Source organism: Homo sapiens, chromosome 2 (assembly GCF_000001405.40).
Source record: "Homo sapiens chromosome 2, GRCh38.p14 Primary Assembly".
NCBI classification, from domain to species: domain Eukaryota; kingdom Metazoa; phylum Chordata; class Mammalia; order Primates; family Hominidae; genus Homo; species Homo sapiens.
The window spans coordinates 190,336,282-190,353,762 of NC_000002.12; the positions used below are offsets into that span (position 1 = coordinate 190,336,282).

Here is a 17,481-nt window from a genome sequence, read left to right on the forward strand (position 1 = left end):
CAGTTTCCACAAATTTTTCTTCATAATGTGTTACTCTTTTATTTATTTATTTATTTTTACTTTAAGTTCCGGGATACATGTGCAGAATGCGCAGGTTTGCTAAATAGGTATATGTGTGCCATAGTGGTTTGCTGCACCTATCAACCCGTCATCTGGGTTTTAAGCCCCACATGCATTAACTGTTTGTTCTGATGCTCTCCCTCCTCTCAACCCCTCTCCCACAGGTCCTGGTGTATGTTGTTCCCCTCTCTGTGTCCATGTGTTCTCATTGTTCAACTCCCACTTATGAGTGAGAACATAAGGTGTTTGGTTTCCTGTGTTAGTTTTCTGAGGATGATGGCTTCCAGCTTCATGATCTCATTCTTTTTTATGGCTGCATAGTATTCCATGGTGCATATGTACTACATTTTCTGTATCCAGTCTATCATTGATGAAAACTTGGGTTGGTTCCATGTCTTTGCTATTGTGAATAGTGCAATGCATTACTTTTATAAACACAAACAAGTCACTTGAAAAGAGTAAATAAATTTCATCTCGAGGTATAAATATTAAAAATATTTCGAAAAAGTGAATTTGAGCAGGAAATTACCCTATTGTTATTAAAATGCTATGCCATTGACACAGTAATCCAAAGAAGGATGAATGAAACTAAATAGAGGATCCAGAAATACGGCCTAGTGCATAAAAGAAGTTAATTTATGATACATCAATCATCACAGAATTGTGGGAAAAAATGTTTGCTCAATAAAACTTAAATAGTAAATAGTAAAAAAAAATTTGAGGAAATATAAATGAATATTGATCTGATCTTTGATTTAAAAGGATCTTAGGCATATAAACAAGAAAAAAATCCAGAGATTTGACTAAATAAAAACTTTTTAAATTTTGTAAATAATAAAAACACGTAAAACTAGGAGGCAAACTAAGAAAAAGTATTTGCCACAAATGTGATAAAAGGTTGTGACAAATGATTAATTCAATTGTTAATTGGATTAAACAAGATAAATAATAAGACTACAATATTGCTACTCTGTGGACATCATGAAAGCACAGACATAATGTGTTGTTCATTAAACCATTAGCATAATGATCAGAACATCATACAAGGAATTCTTATGTATTGATGAATTGAGAAATGGTCAAACATGAAAGTATGACTAAAAAAATGTAGAAGGTGTTGGAGGAGAAGGGAAAGTATCAATGGCCAAGAGACGTGGGAAAATATTTTATCAGTAATGAAAATGCAATTAAAAGTATGATGAGAAGTCAGGAGAGGTTTTTTGGCATTCCGCATGTGGTAACAGATGCAGTCATGAGATGGGTCACATCATTCACAGTGAGGAGTGTCTTGAATAGGTAAAATCATATTGTCAACCGAAATTCTAGGAATCTAACCTAAAGAGATACAACAGACACTTGATACTTAGGAAGGGTATATCTTCCAGACTCTAGGATTTTCCAAATCTGTGTTTTCACACTGTGTTCCAAGGAGCCCTGGGGTTCTGCAGAGGCATCCCAAAGTCGGCTTCAAAGATAGGAAGAAGGTTTCCCCAATGCTGCCTCAACCAGAGCAATTTGACATTTATCTAATTTGTATGTTAGATTACATGTAAGAACTTTTTCTTAAAGATTCCACTGAAAACATCAAAATGTGGACACCACTGTACTGTATATATAATTTCTTCAATAAAATGCAATGGAGCATTACTTCTCAAAAACTACCGGAGAAGTGGAGAATAGTCAGAGTGTTATATTCCCAAACACTAGCCTCACAGCATAAACTTAAATCCCTGTTTCAGGAAATGTGTAAATCACTCTATAATTACCTTGCAAATAGTTCAAAGCTCGGATATAAAATCTGCAAATATCCAGGCCCTGTTGCAGTAAGGATAAAAGATTTGTGTTCTATGATGATCAACTGTTTCCTTTAGTATATTTAGTCTGTCATAACAGGAATCAATTTCCACTCAGATGTTTCAGCTGAAGAGACTTTATTGCGGGAACTATTTATAGAAGTTAGGGTTAGGGTTGGATGAAAGGAAACAAGAAACATGGAGGTACCTAGGAGTTAGCACAGCTAGGCCTGAAGAAATAAGGGGAGGGAATCACGTTAGTAGAGCCCAGTGAAGGCTGGCACAGTGGAGCAGGGCTGCCTTGCAGGAGGAGCCTTCAAGGGACAAAGCCACCATCAGAACCCAGCCAGAAGCAGGAAAAGAGGTGGTGAAACATATCCTAACCTTTTTTCCTTTTCCATCCTCCAATCTACTGATGGTGTTACCCATTGGTCAAAACCAACTGGCATGAGACCCCAGCTGGAATAGTTTATGAAAAATTCCACCTTCTGAGGCACAGAGTCTAGCAGAGAAGAGCAGAAGATGGCACTAAAACACAACAAGTGGAGAATAACCAGCATATTTATAACAGAGAAATACAAGTCCCCCCTTACCTGTGGGGGATACGTTTCAAGACCCCTCATGGATATCTGAAACTGCAGATAGTACTGAACCCTTTATATACAATGTTTTTTCCTATACATATCTATCTATGATTAAGTTATTAATATAAATAAGGCACAATAAGAGATTAACAACAATTACTGCTAATAAAATAGAATAGCCAGGCACAGTGGCTCATGCCTGTAATCCCAGCTCTTTGGAAAACCGAGGCGGGAGGATTACTTGAGGCCAGGAGTTCCTGGGCAACAGAGTCAGACTCCATCTGCACAAAAAATTAAAAAATTAGCTGGGCGTAGTGATGCACACCTGCAGTCCCAGCTACTTGGGAGGCTGAGGCAGGAAGATCACTTGAGCCAAAGAGTTTGAGGCTGCAGTGAGCTATGATTGCACCTTTGCACTCCAGCCTGGGTGACAGAATGAAGCCCTGTCTCTAAAAATAAAACAGAAAAGTAAAATAAGAACAGTTATACAAATATATTTTAATAAAAGTTATACACTGTGGCCATAACTTTTGCAGTTTGAGGTACAACAGCAAAACTAACGTGAATTTCTTTTTCCTTCACAATTTCACAGGTAGAAGATTCATTCTTATCATAGATCTTAGCGACCTCAGCATATGGATTTTTTTCTTTCCTTACTAATTCAAAAACTTTTGGGTTTTCACTTAAAAGAAGCACTTTATGACTTTTCTTTGGCATACCCAAATTGCCAACATTACTACTCTTGTGTTTAGGGGCCATTATTAAGTTAAATAAGTGTTACTTGGACATAAGTACTGCAATACCTTGACAGTAGGTCTGACAACCAAGCCAACTACAAAGTGACTAACAGACAGGGGAGCATCTACAGTGTGGACACACTGAACAAGAGGGATGACCCATGGCCTGGACAGGATACAGCAGGATGGTGCACAATGTAAAACTTATGAATTGTTTTATTTCTGGAATTTTTCATTTAATATTTTCAGATCTTGGTTGATCATAACTGAAACCTTGGAAGCAAAACCACAGATAAGGGGAGACTAGTGTACTGGGAACTCAGATGTTCGATAATAGAGGAAACCTTAACTAAATAATGATATCAACCATTCTGCTATTAAATAAAAGTGCTCAGAAGAGCATTATGTAATCAGGGAGTACAGAAGAGAGAGCAACCAACTCCTTACAGAGATTGTAATAAAAGATTTTCCCAAATTAACAAATGAGGTGCTTTGTTGTCCCCCAAGCAAAGTTTCGTATATTTTTTAATTATATAAACAATACATTTCATTATGGGAAACATATACATAAAACAAAAAGCAAATATCTACAATTCCATCCCCTGCCCTAGACCACTATAAATATCTGTTTATATCTTTCCAGATTTTTTTCTATGCATTTATACACACATGATTATGTTGTTTTCGGGATCACACCATATTATTTTGTAAACTGTATTTTCCACTTAATAAATCATAAATACTATTTTATCCAATAGATACCATTCTGCAACATTTTAAAATTTTAACACTTTTTAAAAACTTGCCTCCGTGTATCTAGTTGTAACTAATTTTTATTCTCGGACATTTAGTTTGGTTTCTCTTTTGGCCATTACCAAATGTACTGTGATGAGACTTTACATTTTGGGGGTGATACAGTTTGGATGTCCCATTCAAATTTCATGTTGAGATATAATCTCCAGTGTTGGAGGTGGAGCCTGGTGGGAGGTGTTTGGATCATAGGGGCGGATCCCTCATGAATAGCTTGGGCCATCTCCTTGGTGATAAGTGTGCTCTCACTCTGAGCTCACAGGGATCTCATTGTTTATGTGGCTCCTCCCCCCCAACTCCTTCTTGCTCCCGTTCTCACCATGTGAGACATCTGCTCCCCATCACCTTCCAGCATGATTGGAAGCTTCCTGAGGCCCCCCCAGAAGCAGATGGCATTATGCTTCCTGTACAGCCTGCAGAACCATGAGCCAGTTAAACCTCTTTTCATATAAATTAACCAGCCTCAGGTATTTCTTTATAGTAATGCAAGAATGGCCTAACAAGGGTGGGGGGAGGGGGGGCAGTTTTTTTTTTTTTTAAACACACACACAAAAGAAAAGCCACAGAGACATATGTGGCCTTCAAAGCCCAAAGTATTTGCCATCTGACCTTTTATAGAAAATGTTTGTATTATAAATTTCCAGGAATGTAATTTTTAAGTCAAAGTGTGTGAACATTTTTGACGCTTTCACTACATTCTGTCAAATTGCTCTCCAGAATCGTTGAGCCAATTTACACCCTTCTCAGTAATGTATGAGTTTCTTTAGTTGCTATACATCCTACTCCAAGGGTCACTGGCCCAAATTACTAGCTCTGAGTATTATTTTATTCTCAATTTGATGGTGCATTATCGTTTTAAGTTTTTACTTCTCTTAAAAATGTTTGGCCATTTACATTTTTCTCTCATGATGACGAATTTGCATTTTGCTCATTTTTAGTAGGCTATTTTTTCTTTCTAAGTTCTCTTTAATGTTATGCTTATCTGTCATGTATATTGCAAATTTTTTGTAATTTTTACTTGTTTTTAAATTTTATTCTATGGGGTTTTTTTTTGGATAAAAGAAGTTAAAAGTTCAACAGTCAGATCTGTCACTTTTCCTTTGTAATTTCAGCCGTTGTTTCATGCTTAGTTTGAGATTAAAAGCAATTCACTTGTATTTTCTCCTTGCCCTTTTAAGACTTAAAAACATTTAAATCTTTTAATCCTGTTCAAATTTAGTGTCTGGGAAACATTTTAGAAGGATGAATAGGTAATATTATGTTAGTCCTGGAGTCAGATTGCTGGGTTCAAATTTAGCCTCACCAAATACTACATATTTCTGCAAATCACTTAAACTCTTTAAGTCTTAGTTTTCTTGTTTATAAAATGGAGATAACAGTAACATTTACCATAGGGTTGATGTAAGAATTAACAGTTATAAATCACAGAAAGTACTTAGCACAGTGTCATTAGCTATTATTATAGCAGCAAGAGAATACTCTCCCAGGCAAAAGCAATAACATGTATAAAGGTGCAAATGTATGAAATCTGTTTGCATATTCAGGGAACTAGATGTGGTGTAGTAAAATGAGGTGTAATATTCAAGGGGCAGAGTTGACAGATGCGAGGGGTGATGGGTCTTGAATGAGTTGTTCAGGAACTTGCTCTTGATATTATCAGAGATTGGGAGCCAATGAAAGCTTTTAAGCAAGCAAGAAACCCTGCAGATGTGTGGTAGCAAAGTGGAAAATGGACTAGATTCCGCCAGGTGCAGTGGCTCACGCCTGGAATCCTAGCACTTTGGGAGGCTGAGCTGGGCGGATCCCCTGAGGTCAGGAGTTCGAGACCAGCCTGGCCAACATGGTGAAACCTCGTCTCTACTAAAAATACAAAATTAGCTGGGCATAGTGGCAGTCACTTGTAATCCCAGTTACTAGGGAGGCTGAGGTGGGAGAATCGCTTGAACGAAGGAGGCAGAGGTTGCAGTGAGCCAAGATCATGCCACTGCACTCCAGCCTGGGCGACAGAGTGAGACTCTATCTTAAAAATAAAAAAAAAAGAAAAGAAAAGAAAAGAAAAATGGACTAGATTTATATCCCTTGCTCCACCCTGTCTTCCCCAAATTTAAATTCCTGCTTCCTAGAGGCAAATTCTTTCACCTTCTATGTCTCTGGTATTTATCTCCTTACTTTTAAGAATCATGTTTAAATTGTTTCTTGATTTTGCCATCATAGATATGATTATGAGGCTAATTAAACAGTAATCCTAACCGCTCTGAGAATGGACCTAAGAAATGAATGTGAGAAAGAAAGTAGAAGCAGCCCACTTGCTAGTGAGTGAAAGCCAGGGAAGGGTGGGGGGATGCGGGGAGAAATTGTCTCAAGTTGGAGAACCCAGGTGCAGGCTGGGAGCAGTACCATGAATTCCATTCAAGAAGCCAAACGTTTTAAGCACCATTTCCTGGAGTTTGCCAAGTTGAGTATTGACCCAGCCTCCTGTCTTGTTGGTTCCTCACTGCTGAAGAAGACCAAGTGTTGACAACTCAGTGAGGCAGTCTCAGCTGGAGTGGAAAAATGTAGCTAAGAAAACGTGCCAGACAAAGCTTTAAGCAGAGCTTCCCAACTGGATGCCGTGAAACGAATGACAGGGATGCAGATACAGCATGGGTCTTCCCAGCCCTCCAAGTGCAAGGGCTTCTGCAGGAAGCCTTCTGCAGGAGCAGCCTCTTCTGTTTACCCCCATTTTGACCCTTGTAATATCATCCTTTCCTACCTGTGCCAAGAAGTGAAAAGGTGTGTGAAGCGCCGCTTTAGAAGGCCCAGTACATTCACAAACATCAGCTTCTGGGCGAGGCTGCTTGGCCTCTTCTATTCAAAACTTTGTGTTGCCCTTTTAAGGTTTCTATTCCCCCCACCCCCACCCCGCCCACCAACACCCATTCCTACCTAGGTTCAACCCAAACCATCCTTAAGGTACACTGAGTATCACAGCACCAAAGGCTGGAGAGAGATAAGTTCCCCACCCTTGATGCGCTTCCTGTCCAGGTGGCCCGAGGCCCACTCCTTAAGAGGCAAGGCCCAGAGACACTGCTGTGTCTTGAGGAACATCCAGTACACCTGACATTTCCATTAGAACAGTGGGACCCGGATACCACTGGCAGGAAGTCCATCTTCACAGCTGCCAACCCATCTGTCAAACCCGCAGTCCCCTATGAGAGTACAGATGAATGGAGGAGGAAGATTTAAAAGTGAATTCGTGGGCGGCGACAAGGAAACAGCAGCCGTGGCCAAGCTGACCCCAGAGCCCTTCCCTTCCTGGCCCTCCCTCTGAATCATCGCGCTCCACTTGTGACGTCGCGGACGCCCGGCTCGGGCAGGCGTGGGGGGCCCGCGCGTCCCGGGAGCCCCGAGGCGGCAGCGCGCGTTTCCACGCCGCGGTCCCGCGGGAAAGCCGGGGGCGGCGGCCTGGCTGAGGCCAAGCTCGGATCCGGTGCCGAGCCAAGCGGGGCCGTGCGTCGCCGGGGCTTCGCCTTCGCTCGCGTGACCTCCGCCGTCCTCCCCAACCCTCGTCCTCTGGCCGCGCCTGCGGCCGCACGCCCAGCGCCCCTCGCCTAACCTCGCGCCCGGGCCGCGCCTCCTCCTCCTCCTGCTCCCCGCCGCTTCCGTTTCTCGAGGGAAAGGCTGCTGCCTCCTGCTCTGTCCTCATCCCCGGCTTAGGTAACACGTTTTCCTCCTTACGACACCCACCACAGGGTCCCCGCGCCGCTGCCCCTCCTCCTTGGATCTGGGGCCCGGGCTGGTGAGCGGCGCGCGCCGTCGCCTCTCCGCGGGTAGGTGAGTCGATGGCGCCGGGAGGGTTCCTCGCCTCTGCGCGCCGGCCTGCGAGGTCCCTGCCCCGGCAGCGAGGCCGCCCCCGGCCGGGCCCGGCCAGGCATGCCCGGCATCGCCGCTGCAGCCAGCGCGGAGGGGAGCTCGTGAGTCCCGCGGCGCCCTTGGCCCTGCCCGAGCGGCCCGATGGGGTTGGGGGGCGGGAAGAAAGGGTGGCAAACAACGATTTTAAAAATCCAGTCATTAGTATTTGTAGGACGAAGAAGCTGATCTGACAGTTGTCCAGAGCAGTGGCCCAGCTGCAACAGGTAGATGGCGCAGCTGTCAGTGACCCCTTGGTCTCAGCCTTGGCTTTGAGAGATGCATCTGAGTGTCCCTAGCTGCCAGCTACCTCCAGTGACCTACTTGATGAGTGTGAAATAAATATGATGGGACTATATTTAGAAAAATCTTTACTTCCTTGCTGTTAATTCTCTCTGCATTTTGAAAGGTGGTTTTGTGAGGTGTGCATAATTAGTTGGTGTGTCCAGAGTGGTAGCTGGAAAAAAATATTTAACCTGGGTTTGGCCCTATCATGTAGACGGTTAGGCGCAAAGAGTGTGAAAGGAAACGCTTACTTTAGTACATCTGTGAAAAACACTTATAAGAAACCACGGCTTGTTTTTTGGAGATTTCTCATTTTAAAGGTATTTTTAAAGTGTTGAATAAGCAGAAGTTTGCCCACTGTATGATGGTGTTCACTTCAAAAGAACAGTGGGTTAAAAGTATGGACAGACCACTTAAGTGGATCCCATCTGTTGAGTAAAAGATTTTTTAGCCCTTTTACACTGATTCCTAGCTTTGAAGCCAGAAAAGTTGATAAGGATCAGCCCTGCTCAACTTGATAATAGTATAAGGATGAAAGTAATCCACTGAACTACTCTTGATTGGTGAATTAGCTAAGTGATCTCATTCTTACCTTTTAAAATAGAGAACATAAGGGAAAAAATAAAGGCAATGGAAGAATTCATTTTTTCAATACAGATATTTGTTTCCATTCTTATGTAGAGCCTACTTTATTTTTAAGTTTTTATGGATTTTTATACTACTTTTGAAGTCAGCTTAGTCATGAAGAGAATTATGTCAAATACATAGAGTTACACTGTACTTTTTGTGTAGAATAAGCTACCACTTTTCAAGCTTTTGGACTAAACCACCGCTTGCTTGGAAATTGCAGCTTTGACTAATGCCCTTTAAAATGATATACCTTATTATAGATTTAAATTATAGCTTTCCTTGTTATAGTCCTGAAAAAAATGAAAAGATAATTTCTTGTTTGACATAGAAGGCCTGTGAGACAAAAGTTATAAAGGTTATTATATATTTATTTTGCTTTTTAATTCTGTCTCTAATAACAGTTAGAAAATGTCTCATTCTATTTCATGTTATACAGAAATTGCTTAAAAGATAATTATGTTATATAAAGTGATCAATGAAAACAAACGTCATCTTCATTTTTTAAAGGTGAGGATGGTGTATATAAGCACTTTTTCCCGATGTGAGTCCTTATGAATGTTCTTGTTAAAATACTTTGAATCTTGTAATGAAGTTAATAAAACTATGTTAATGTGTTTGGCTGAGAGCTTAGAAATAAAGGCTCTGGCTGGCGTGGTGGCTCACGCCTGTTATCCCTGCACTTTGGGAGGCCAAGGCAGGTGGATCACTTGAGGTTAGGAGTTCGAGACCAGCCTGGCCAACATGGTGAAACCCCGTCTCTAGTAAAAATACAAAAATTAGCCAGGCGTGGTAGCAAGCACCTGTAGTCCCAGCTATTCAGGAGGCTGAGGCTGGAGGATCCCTGGAACCTAGGAATCAGAGGTTGCAGTGAGCCCAGATCGCGCCACTGCACTCCAGCCTGGGCGACAAAGCAAGACTTCATCTCAAAAAATAAAAATTAAGTTAAAATTAAAAAAATAAAAGTTCTGCTTCCCGTCTCCTGTGATTGATGTTGGGTACTGTTTCTCAAACTTGTCTGATTGTAAAATTCCTCAGGGTAGTAGGCAAGTCGGGGAGTGGGTAGAGTATAATAGTGGTTTAAAAGATTCCCAGATTGCAACTTGAGACTTCCTGGATCAGAATTTCTAAGAGAAAGGAGATATTTCAAATAGACAAAAATGATAAAATTTTAAAATAGTCAACAACAACAAAAAAGGTGAGTTTGGGAAATGCAGGTGGGAAATGACTATTGTTGGAATGAATAGTTGATAAAACTTATTAGGACTCCTGTACATAAAATGTTCATATATGGAAACTGATTTTATTAATATGATGAGGCCACTCATTTAGGAAATCTGAAACTTTTATATTTTTTTCTGGTCAAGCTTCTGCTGATCAAATTTAGCAAACATATTTTTGCATGTTTAGTCTTTTTTATGTGGTATGTAATGTTAATTCAATTTCTTGAATGTGATAAGAGCATTTTATTAATGGATGACTAATGCAGATTACTGTAACTAGTAATCCACAGCAAAATATTGTACCTAATAATTTCTCTTTCTTTTTTTTCTTTTTTTCTTGAGAAAAGGTCACACTCTGTCATCCAGGCTGGAGTACAGTGGTGTGATCATGGCTTATGCAGTCTCCACCTCTCAGGCTCAAGGAATCCTCCCACCCCAGCCTCCCGAGTGTCTGGGACTACAGGCACGTGCCACCATCCCAGCTAATTTTTAAAATTGTAGAGATGGGGTCCCACTATGTTGCCCAGGTTGGTCTCAAACTCCTGGGCTCATGACATCCTCCTGCCTCAGCCTCCCAAAATGCTGGGACTACAGGTGTGAGCTGCTGCACCCAGCCTAATTTCTTTCATATTATAGATTTATTTGTTACCTCTTCCATGTGCCTGATTAAATAATTATAGGCAAGACAGGCATGCAAATTTGAATACCTTATTAGTAGCTTTTTTTTTTTTTTTTTTTTTTGAGACAGAGCCTCACTCTGTTGCCCAGGCTAGAGTGCAGTGGTGTGATCTCGGCTCACAGCAACCTCTGCCTCCCAGGTTCAAGCGATTCTCCTGCCTCAGCCTCCCGAGTAGCTGGGATTACAGGTGCCCGCTACCACACCAGGCTAATTTTTTGTATTTTTAGTAGAGATGGGGTTTCACAGTGTTAGCCAGGATGGTCTCGATCTCCTGACCTCGTGATCCACCCGCCTTGGCCTCCCAAAGTGCTGGGATTACAGGCGTGAGCCACCACACCTGGCTCCTTATTTGTAGCTTTTTAAAAAATGACTCTCAACCCCATTCAAAAAAGAAAAAAAAATTTATTTGGCCCTAAAACTTGGTCAGTTATATATAAAAAAATTAAAGAAATAGAATATTAAATACCTATAAAATAATTTGACAAGATGAGTTACCATAATGGAAAATGTCAGAATTTATTTTCCTTTTCCTTCTTCCTCTTTACATTGCTTTTCTTTCTCCTTTTTTGGGGGGGGATGGAGAGTGTGTGTTATTTGCTCATTTGTTTTTATTTTTAACCAACTAAATATTTAAAATATAGTAAATTATCCATGTTTAAATTAATTTAAATATTTGCCAACTTTACCAATAGATATTTAAACTTGCCCTTTTCCTCTAAAGTGACAGTGGTAGGCTTTGCTCAATGCAAATGAGAGTAATAATTCATATCAAAGGAGTTAAATTCAAGTGACCAAAGAAAATTGTTCTTTTAACATTGCTTAAGGAAAGCATAACTTAAATTGATGCCATAATTTTTCATTATCAGCAACTCTTAAAATGAGGATGGAGGCTGGGCATGGTGGCTCACGCCTGTAATCCCAGCACTTTGGGAGGCCAAGGCGGGTGGATTACCTGAGGTCAGGAGTTCGAGACCAGCCTGGCCAACATGGCGAAACCTGGTCTCTACTAAAAATACAAAAATTAGCTAGGTGTGGTAGCGCGTGCCTGTAATCCCAGCTACTAGGGGGGCTAAGGCAGGAGAATCGCTTGAACCTGGGAGGCGGAGGTTGCAGTGAGTCAAGATCGTGCCACTGCACTGCAGCCTGGGCAACAGAGCGAGACTCTGTCTCAAAAACAAAACAAAACAAAACAAAACAAAACACCGGTGTGGTTGCTGTATGAAATCAACTTAAATAGCCTAGTGCCCTTCTTTAAACCTAATTTTCCTATCGCTACCCCCACTTGTTTTTTAAAAATATAAGTCAACAAATATTTATTATGCCCTTATTATGTAGATGATAAACATCAAAAGCTTTTGAAATGTGCATTTCTTTGAACCTGTAATTTTTTGTTTTTTTTTAACTTTAAAAAAATTGTGGTAAAAGATATCTAATATCAAATTTACCATTTTAACCGTTTTCAAATTACAGCTCAGTGGCATTAAGTACATTCACTTTGTTATGCAACCATCAGCACTGTTCATGTCCAGAATTTTTTCATCATCCCACACAAAAACTATACCCATTAAACAATGACTCTACCCTCTCTTCCCAGCCCTAGTAACCACCATCCTACTTTCTGTCTCCACGAATTTGACATTCTGAGTACCTCATACAAGTGGAATCATAGAGTATTTGTCTTTTTCAGTCTGGCTTATTCATGTGCCATAATGTCTTCAAGTTTCATCCATGTTGTAGCATGTGTCAGAATTTCCTTTCTTTTTAAGGCTGAATAATATTTCCCAATCTCATTTATATGAGAAGTAGATATAAAAAACAGAGAAGTTTTGAACTGGAACAGATCATAGAAATCATCCAATCCAACCTCTCTGCCCCTGCTTTTCTTTTCCTTTTTTATGTTTACAAAATGGGGAAAACAAGTCCTTCAGAGCTTACATCATGTGGCCGAGTTTATATACCTGATTGGCAAAACAGAGCCTAAGAACCAGCTCTCCTGTATCCCAAGCAAGGCTCTTTCTACCGCACACCCTGCAGGCCCATCCAGGCCCATCCAGACAATAAACAGTAAGTGTTAAAGGAGTTGGTGTCTCCAATTAGTATGGCATGAGTTCTAAAGGAAAGATAAATTGACTTTGGAATCTTCCTTAATTAATGAAAAATGTTACATTCAAAATAGATTGAAGATTAAGGCTAGGTGTGGTGGCTCACGCCTGTAATCCCAGCACTTTGGGAGGCCGAGGTGGGCAGATCACCTGAGATCAGGAGTTTGAGACCAGCCTTGCCAACATGGTGAAACCCATCTCTACTAAAAATACAAAAATTAGCCAGGTGTGGTGGCATGCACCTGTAGTCCCAGCCACTTGGGAGGTTGAAGCAGGAGAATCACTAGAGCCTGGGAGGCGGAGGTTGCAGTGAGCTGATACTGTACCATTGCACTCTAGCCTGGGTGATGGAAGCGAAACCCTGTCTGAAAAATAAAAATAAATTAGTAAGATTCTAGATTCTGATTAGCAGTGATCAAAATTATAAATAATATTCTATTGGAAAATATTCTTGCTTCAAACCATACATCTGACCCTTTTTTCTGCCTTGAATTTTGCATCAAATTTGTATTTTTAAAAAATTTATTCTTTCTGATAGTTAAGATAGTTACATTGCATCTGCTTCTATTTGTATACTATCTGATTTCAGGTTTCATTTGTGGCAACAGGGTTCTAAAAACATCTCTTAGCATACAAAAACTTAAGCATATACTGTAGTTGGAACACAGCAGAAAAAAAAATATCTAAATGAACAAAGTTTCTCTTTAGTGAAAATATTTCCAACTATGGAAAAGGGAGTTTAAAAAATAAGGTCACTATCAAACTTTAAAGTTTTTGTCGGTTTGTTTGTTTTTGAGACAGAGTTCACCGTGTCACCTAGGCTGGAGTGCAGTGGTGTGATCTTGGTTCACTGCAACCTCTGCCTCCCAGGCTCAAGTGATTCTCCTGCCTCAGCCTCCTGAGTAGTTGGGATTACAGGCATGCGCCACCACGCCTGGCTAATTTTTGTATTTTTAGTAGAAACGGGATTTTGCCATGTTGGCCAGGCTGGCCTTGAACTCCTGACCTCAGGTGATCCACCCACCTCAGCCTCCCAAAGTCCTGGGATTATAGGCATGAGCCACCATGCCCAGACAAATTTTAAGGTATTTCTAAATGGAATACTTTTTCACAATTTTCAGATGAGTTCTGAGAAGTATCCGAAATTCATCCTTTATAAAATTGTTACGTTACTACAGAATACTTACTATGTAGATCAACTATTTTTTTCCGAGCATTTAATTTACTTTACAAAAAGGCAATATAAGTTGACTCTTAGTGGAACAAGGCTCCCTGTTCTGTTCTTAAGCAACCAGTGAGTGTAGAGCTGACTGTTGCACCTGTTGTTTCCTTAAATTGTTGGATAAAAATCAGCTGACATTCCCCTTTCTAAAAGTCTCTATTTTTAATGTGTCTTACTTCTTGATCTTAGCTGATTTGGAAAACACAGCTTTAGCACAGGCTTCCATATACAAGCTATCAGAACAGCATTTGAGAACAAGGGACATCTTTGTAGCCTATTGCTTTGAGCAGCTTCAGTGAGCAAAAATGTAGGCTAATGTGGTCCATTGGTACACTTGCTCACAATAGAGCAAGTGTAGACTGACCAGCTTAGAGTAATGTGTATGTCATCATCATTTGAGATGGAATTGAAGTTTGAAGGTTAGGGAGGAAAGAGAGAGAAATGTTAGGGTTAAATAAAAGATTCACATATACCATATTTAATATCTTTTCTCACAAAACCAAATTAAACTCACTATTTTGAGTGATTTAATTAAATTAATCTTGTCACAGATAGGTCACCTCTAGATGAAAGGGGATAATTTTAGATTCTGATTTGGTGCTCCAAAAATGTGGTTCAGTTGCTAGTTATTCAGATACAGCCTTGGTTTGTTCTTGTAAATGAATACAGAATATATGTAGACTTTTATACAAATATGGGCCTGTATGTCTAATGCTGATAAAATCCAAGTACAATAAACAGTGTGACAAGGATGAATTCTGTATTCACAAAGCTAAGGGAAAATTCATCAGCCAACATTTATTGAACACCTCTGAGTTATGCAGTACGAGTCCTAAGACAGCAAATGCATTTAAATCTCTTGTTAGAGCATAAACAAGTAAACCAATGCATAGAGTGTTGGAAAGCTGGGATAGAGATTTGGCCCATCTCCATTCCCCCATGGCCCAGGTGCCTAAGATGGAGGAGGAGTCAGAAATGTCTCCTGAAGGAGCCAACAGTTGAAATGATTCTCCTTTTGCACATACATTTTTAAAAAACAAACCTTTTTAGTGAATTAGAAATATACACATAAACATTAGGAATCTCAGCAGTTAGCTAATAAATTGATACAAAGTCAACCCACTCGTGTAACCATCACTCATATCCAGAACATTACCAGAGCTGCCATCAGTAACCCCACCTTCTTCTCCAAGGACACCACCATTGTGACTTCCAACGTTGCTATAGGTTGGTTTTGCCTGTTTTTGAACTTTAAATTGATTAAATGGCACAGCATATATCTTTTGTGCCTGACCTCTTTCACTTGACAGCATGTTTTTGTGAGATGCATCCATGTTGTTGCCTATTGTCGCAATTCATTCATTTTCTCTGCTGTATAGCATTTCATTACATGAATATGCTGCAGTTTATTCCATTTTACTATTGATGCTTGTTTGGGTTATTACCAATGTTAGATTATTACAAATAATGCTGCTCACAAGTACGTGTCTTTTAATCCATACCTGCATGAGTTTTGTTGGGTAAATATCTACAAGGGAAATTAAATTGCTGGATCATAGATTATACTTATAGTCAACAAATTACAAATAGTTTTCCAAAATGATTATACCAATTTCATTCATGCCCGCAGTTCATAAGAGTTTCTGTTGCTCCATACCCTTAGCAAAACTTGAAATTTTCAGTCTTTTTTATTTTAGCTATTCCATTGGATACATAGTGGCACCCTGTTGAGATTTTAAGTTGCATCTTCCTGATGACTAATATGGTAGACTGTGTTTCTGTATGTTTATTGGCCATTTGGATATCCTCCTGTATGAAGTGCCTATTCAAGCTTCTTGCCCTTGAACTGATTCTGAGAAGGTGAGTGAGCATTAGGTCGAGAAAGCAGGAAGAAGGGCGTGTCAACCAGAGGGAGCAGCATGTGCAAATTTACAATCTTCCCAGAGCAGGAGAGCAAATGGATAGTGCAAAATCAGCTACTAAAAGGCTAAACTTAATCAGAGCCCATGAGGTAATGACAGCAACATCACCCGGATCAACATGAAATAAGACCCAGGAAGTACAGGCAGTCCCAAACTGTAATATTTATTGGATCCTGAGAAATGTTTGACAGTCAAATATCTGAAAGTTGAACATGGCTTATACACTGGGAAAACAATTTAGTTTTCAATGAGCTAAAAGGCAGTATTGCAAATCTCTAGTAAGGCTTGTAGTACAGTTTCCCTCTGGCCTCACAGGAATCTCAGGGGAGGCTACCATTAGCAAGTGACACAACACAGCGAGCCCCCCCTCCATATTTAGTGTGGGCCCACTTCCATTCCCCTGTCCCTTCTGCACAAACAACCTCCAATCTTTAAAACTACTCCCCAAGGCAGCCCTTGAGTATGGAGCAAAGGAGAGGTGGGACGAAGTCTATGTTTCCCCTACAACAGCAATGTGATCTGAATAGAACCTTGGCCACTGCCATCATGTGGCCACCTACACAGACTCCTGGACAGCTGTACCCCCTTGGAAAAGGTCATGAGAAACACCTTCTTGTAAAACACCCAGATATTTCACGGAAGCTTGGCCTTTTCCACTAGCAGCAATAGCTGTCAGGCAGGCCCACCACGCAATAGCTTCAAATTGCCATTCCTCAGAAGATGAGAGCCAGAATTCAGGATGTGAACCGTGGGGGTGGGGTGGAGTCAATGCGCAATGGGCAAAAATGTGTACTCTGTAAAGTGTTGAATTATCTGCCGGAAGAGGGAAATGTCAACAGAAGTGCTTTGACCCGCTTGCCTATTGATTAGAGAGCAGTTCTGTTTTGTGGCAGGCCCTTATCTATGTCATCACCCTTCTGTCACTGTGGACAACAAAAGGGCACAGCCAGCTTCTGCTACAACCAGGCTCTTCACATGAGAAGGAGCACTCTGGGCCCTAGAATCCTCACAAAATATCTCCCTTGACAGAAAAATGGCTCTCCCAAGCCAGTCATAGACTGTCTACCATGAAGCCAGAGTAGTCTCAGCCTCTAGGAGCCAGGGTTTCCACCCAGATGCCCAGAAACTGAAGCAATCAGATCTGGCCGACAAAAAGGAACTTTATTTGGGTTACTCAGAGAATTGCAAGTAGTTCCCAGGCTTTGGATTTAATGGAGTAGTAAGTTTTAAGAAAAGGTTTCAGTGACCCATATAAACTTGCCAACCTCTTACTTTCTCAAGTTAAGACATGTGACTGTGGTTTCTGTGAGGTTGTATTTCAGAGTCATAGCTATCATTTATTATCTGCCATGTGTAAAGCTCTGTGCTCTGTGATATTTTTCCAGAAATATCTCATTTGATCTTCACAACATCACTGCAAGGTAACTATTAATCTTTATATTAAAGGTAAAGAGAGAGTCTCAGAGAGGGTAAGAAAATACCTGATGCCACACAGCTAGTTAGTAGCAGAGTTATGTTTTGAACCCAGGCCTTTCTGATTCAAAAGCCT

The 17,481-nt window shown here is 40.6% G+C and overlaps 2 protein-coding genes across 9 annotated transcripts in view, besides 2 other annotated features; one reads left to right on the forward strand and one right to left on the reverse strand.

The window, feature by feature from the left end:
- Positions 1-1,974: 1,974 nt before the first annotated feature.
- LOC124906109 (serine/arginine repetitive matrix protein 1) lies at positions 1,975-8,768 on the reverse strand. Its single transcript, XM_047446773.1, has one exon. It carries the CDS (start codon positions 8,033-8,035, stop codon positions 7,157-7,159), a length of 879 nt encoding a protein of 292 aa, XP_047302729.1. The 5' UTR covers positions 8,036-8,768; the 3' UTR covers positions 1,975-7,156.
- Positions 7,294-7,603: a silencer, noted in NCBI's record as "silent region_12176". NCBI's record gives its function as "represses an Ori minimal core promoter by ATAC-STARR-seq in GM12878 lymphoblastoid cells {active_cell/tissue: GM12878}" and the evidence as "EXISTENCE:reporter gene assay evidence [ECO:0000049][PMID:35858748]".
- The window catches only part of INPP1 (inositol polyphosphate-1-phosphatase), a 28,077-nt gene continuing 17,903 nt past the window's right edge, over positions 7,308-17,481 (forward strand). For 2 of the 8 annotated variants that reach the window (XM_024452875.2, NM_001128928.2), the window contains exons 1-2: positions 7,308-7,680; positions 12,607-12,750. The gene's annotated coding sequence lies outside the window, so the exon portion shown is untranslated. Of the gene's footprint in view, positions 7,798-12,606; positions 12,751-17,481 lie in introns of all 8 variants that reach the window. The other 6 variants (XM_047444194.1, NM_002194.4, XM_047444192.1 and 3 more) reach the window with 5 other exon arrangements.
- Positions 7,674-8,003: a silencer, noted in NCBI's record as "silent region_12177". NCBI's record gives its function as "represses an Ori minimal core promoter by ATAC-STARR-seq in GM12878 lymphoblastoid cells {active_cell/tissue: GM12878}" and the evidence as "EXISTENCE:reporter gene assay evidence [ECO:0000049][PMID:35858748]".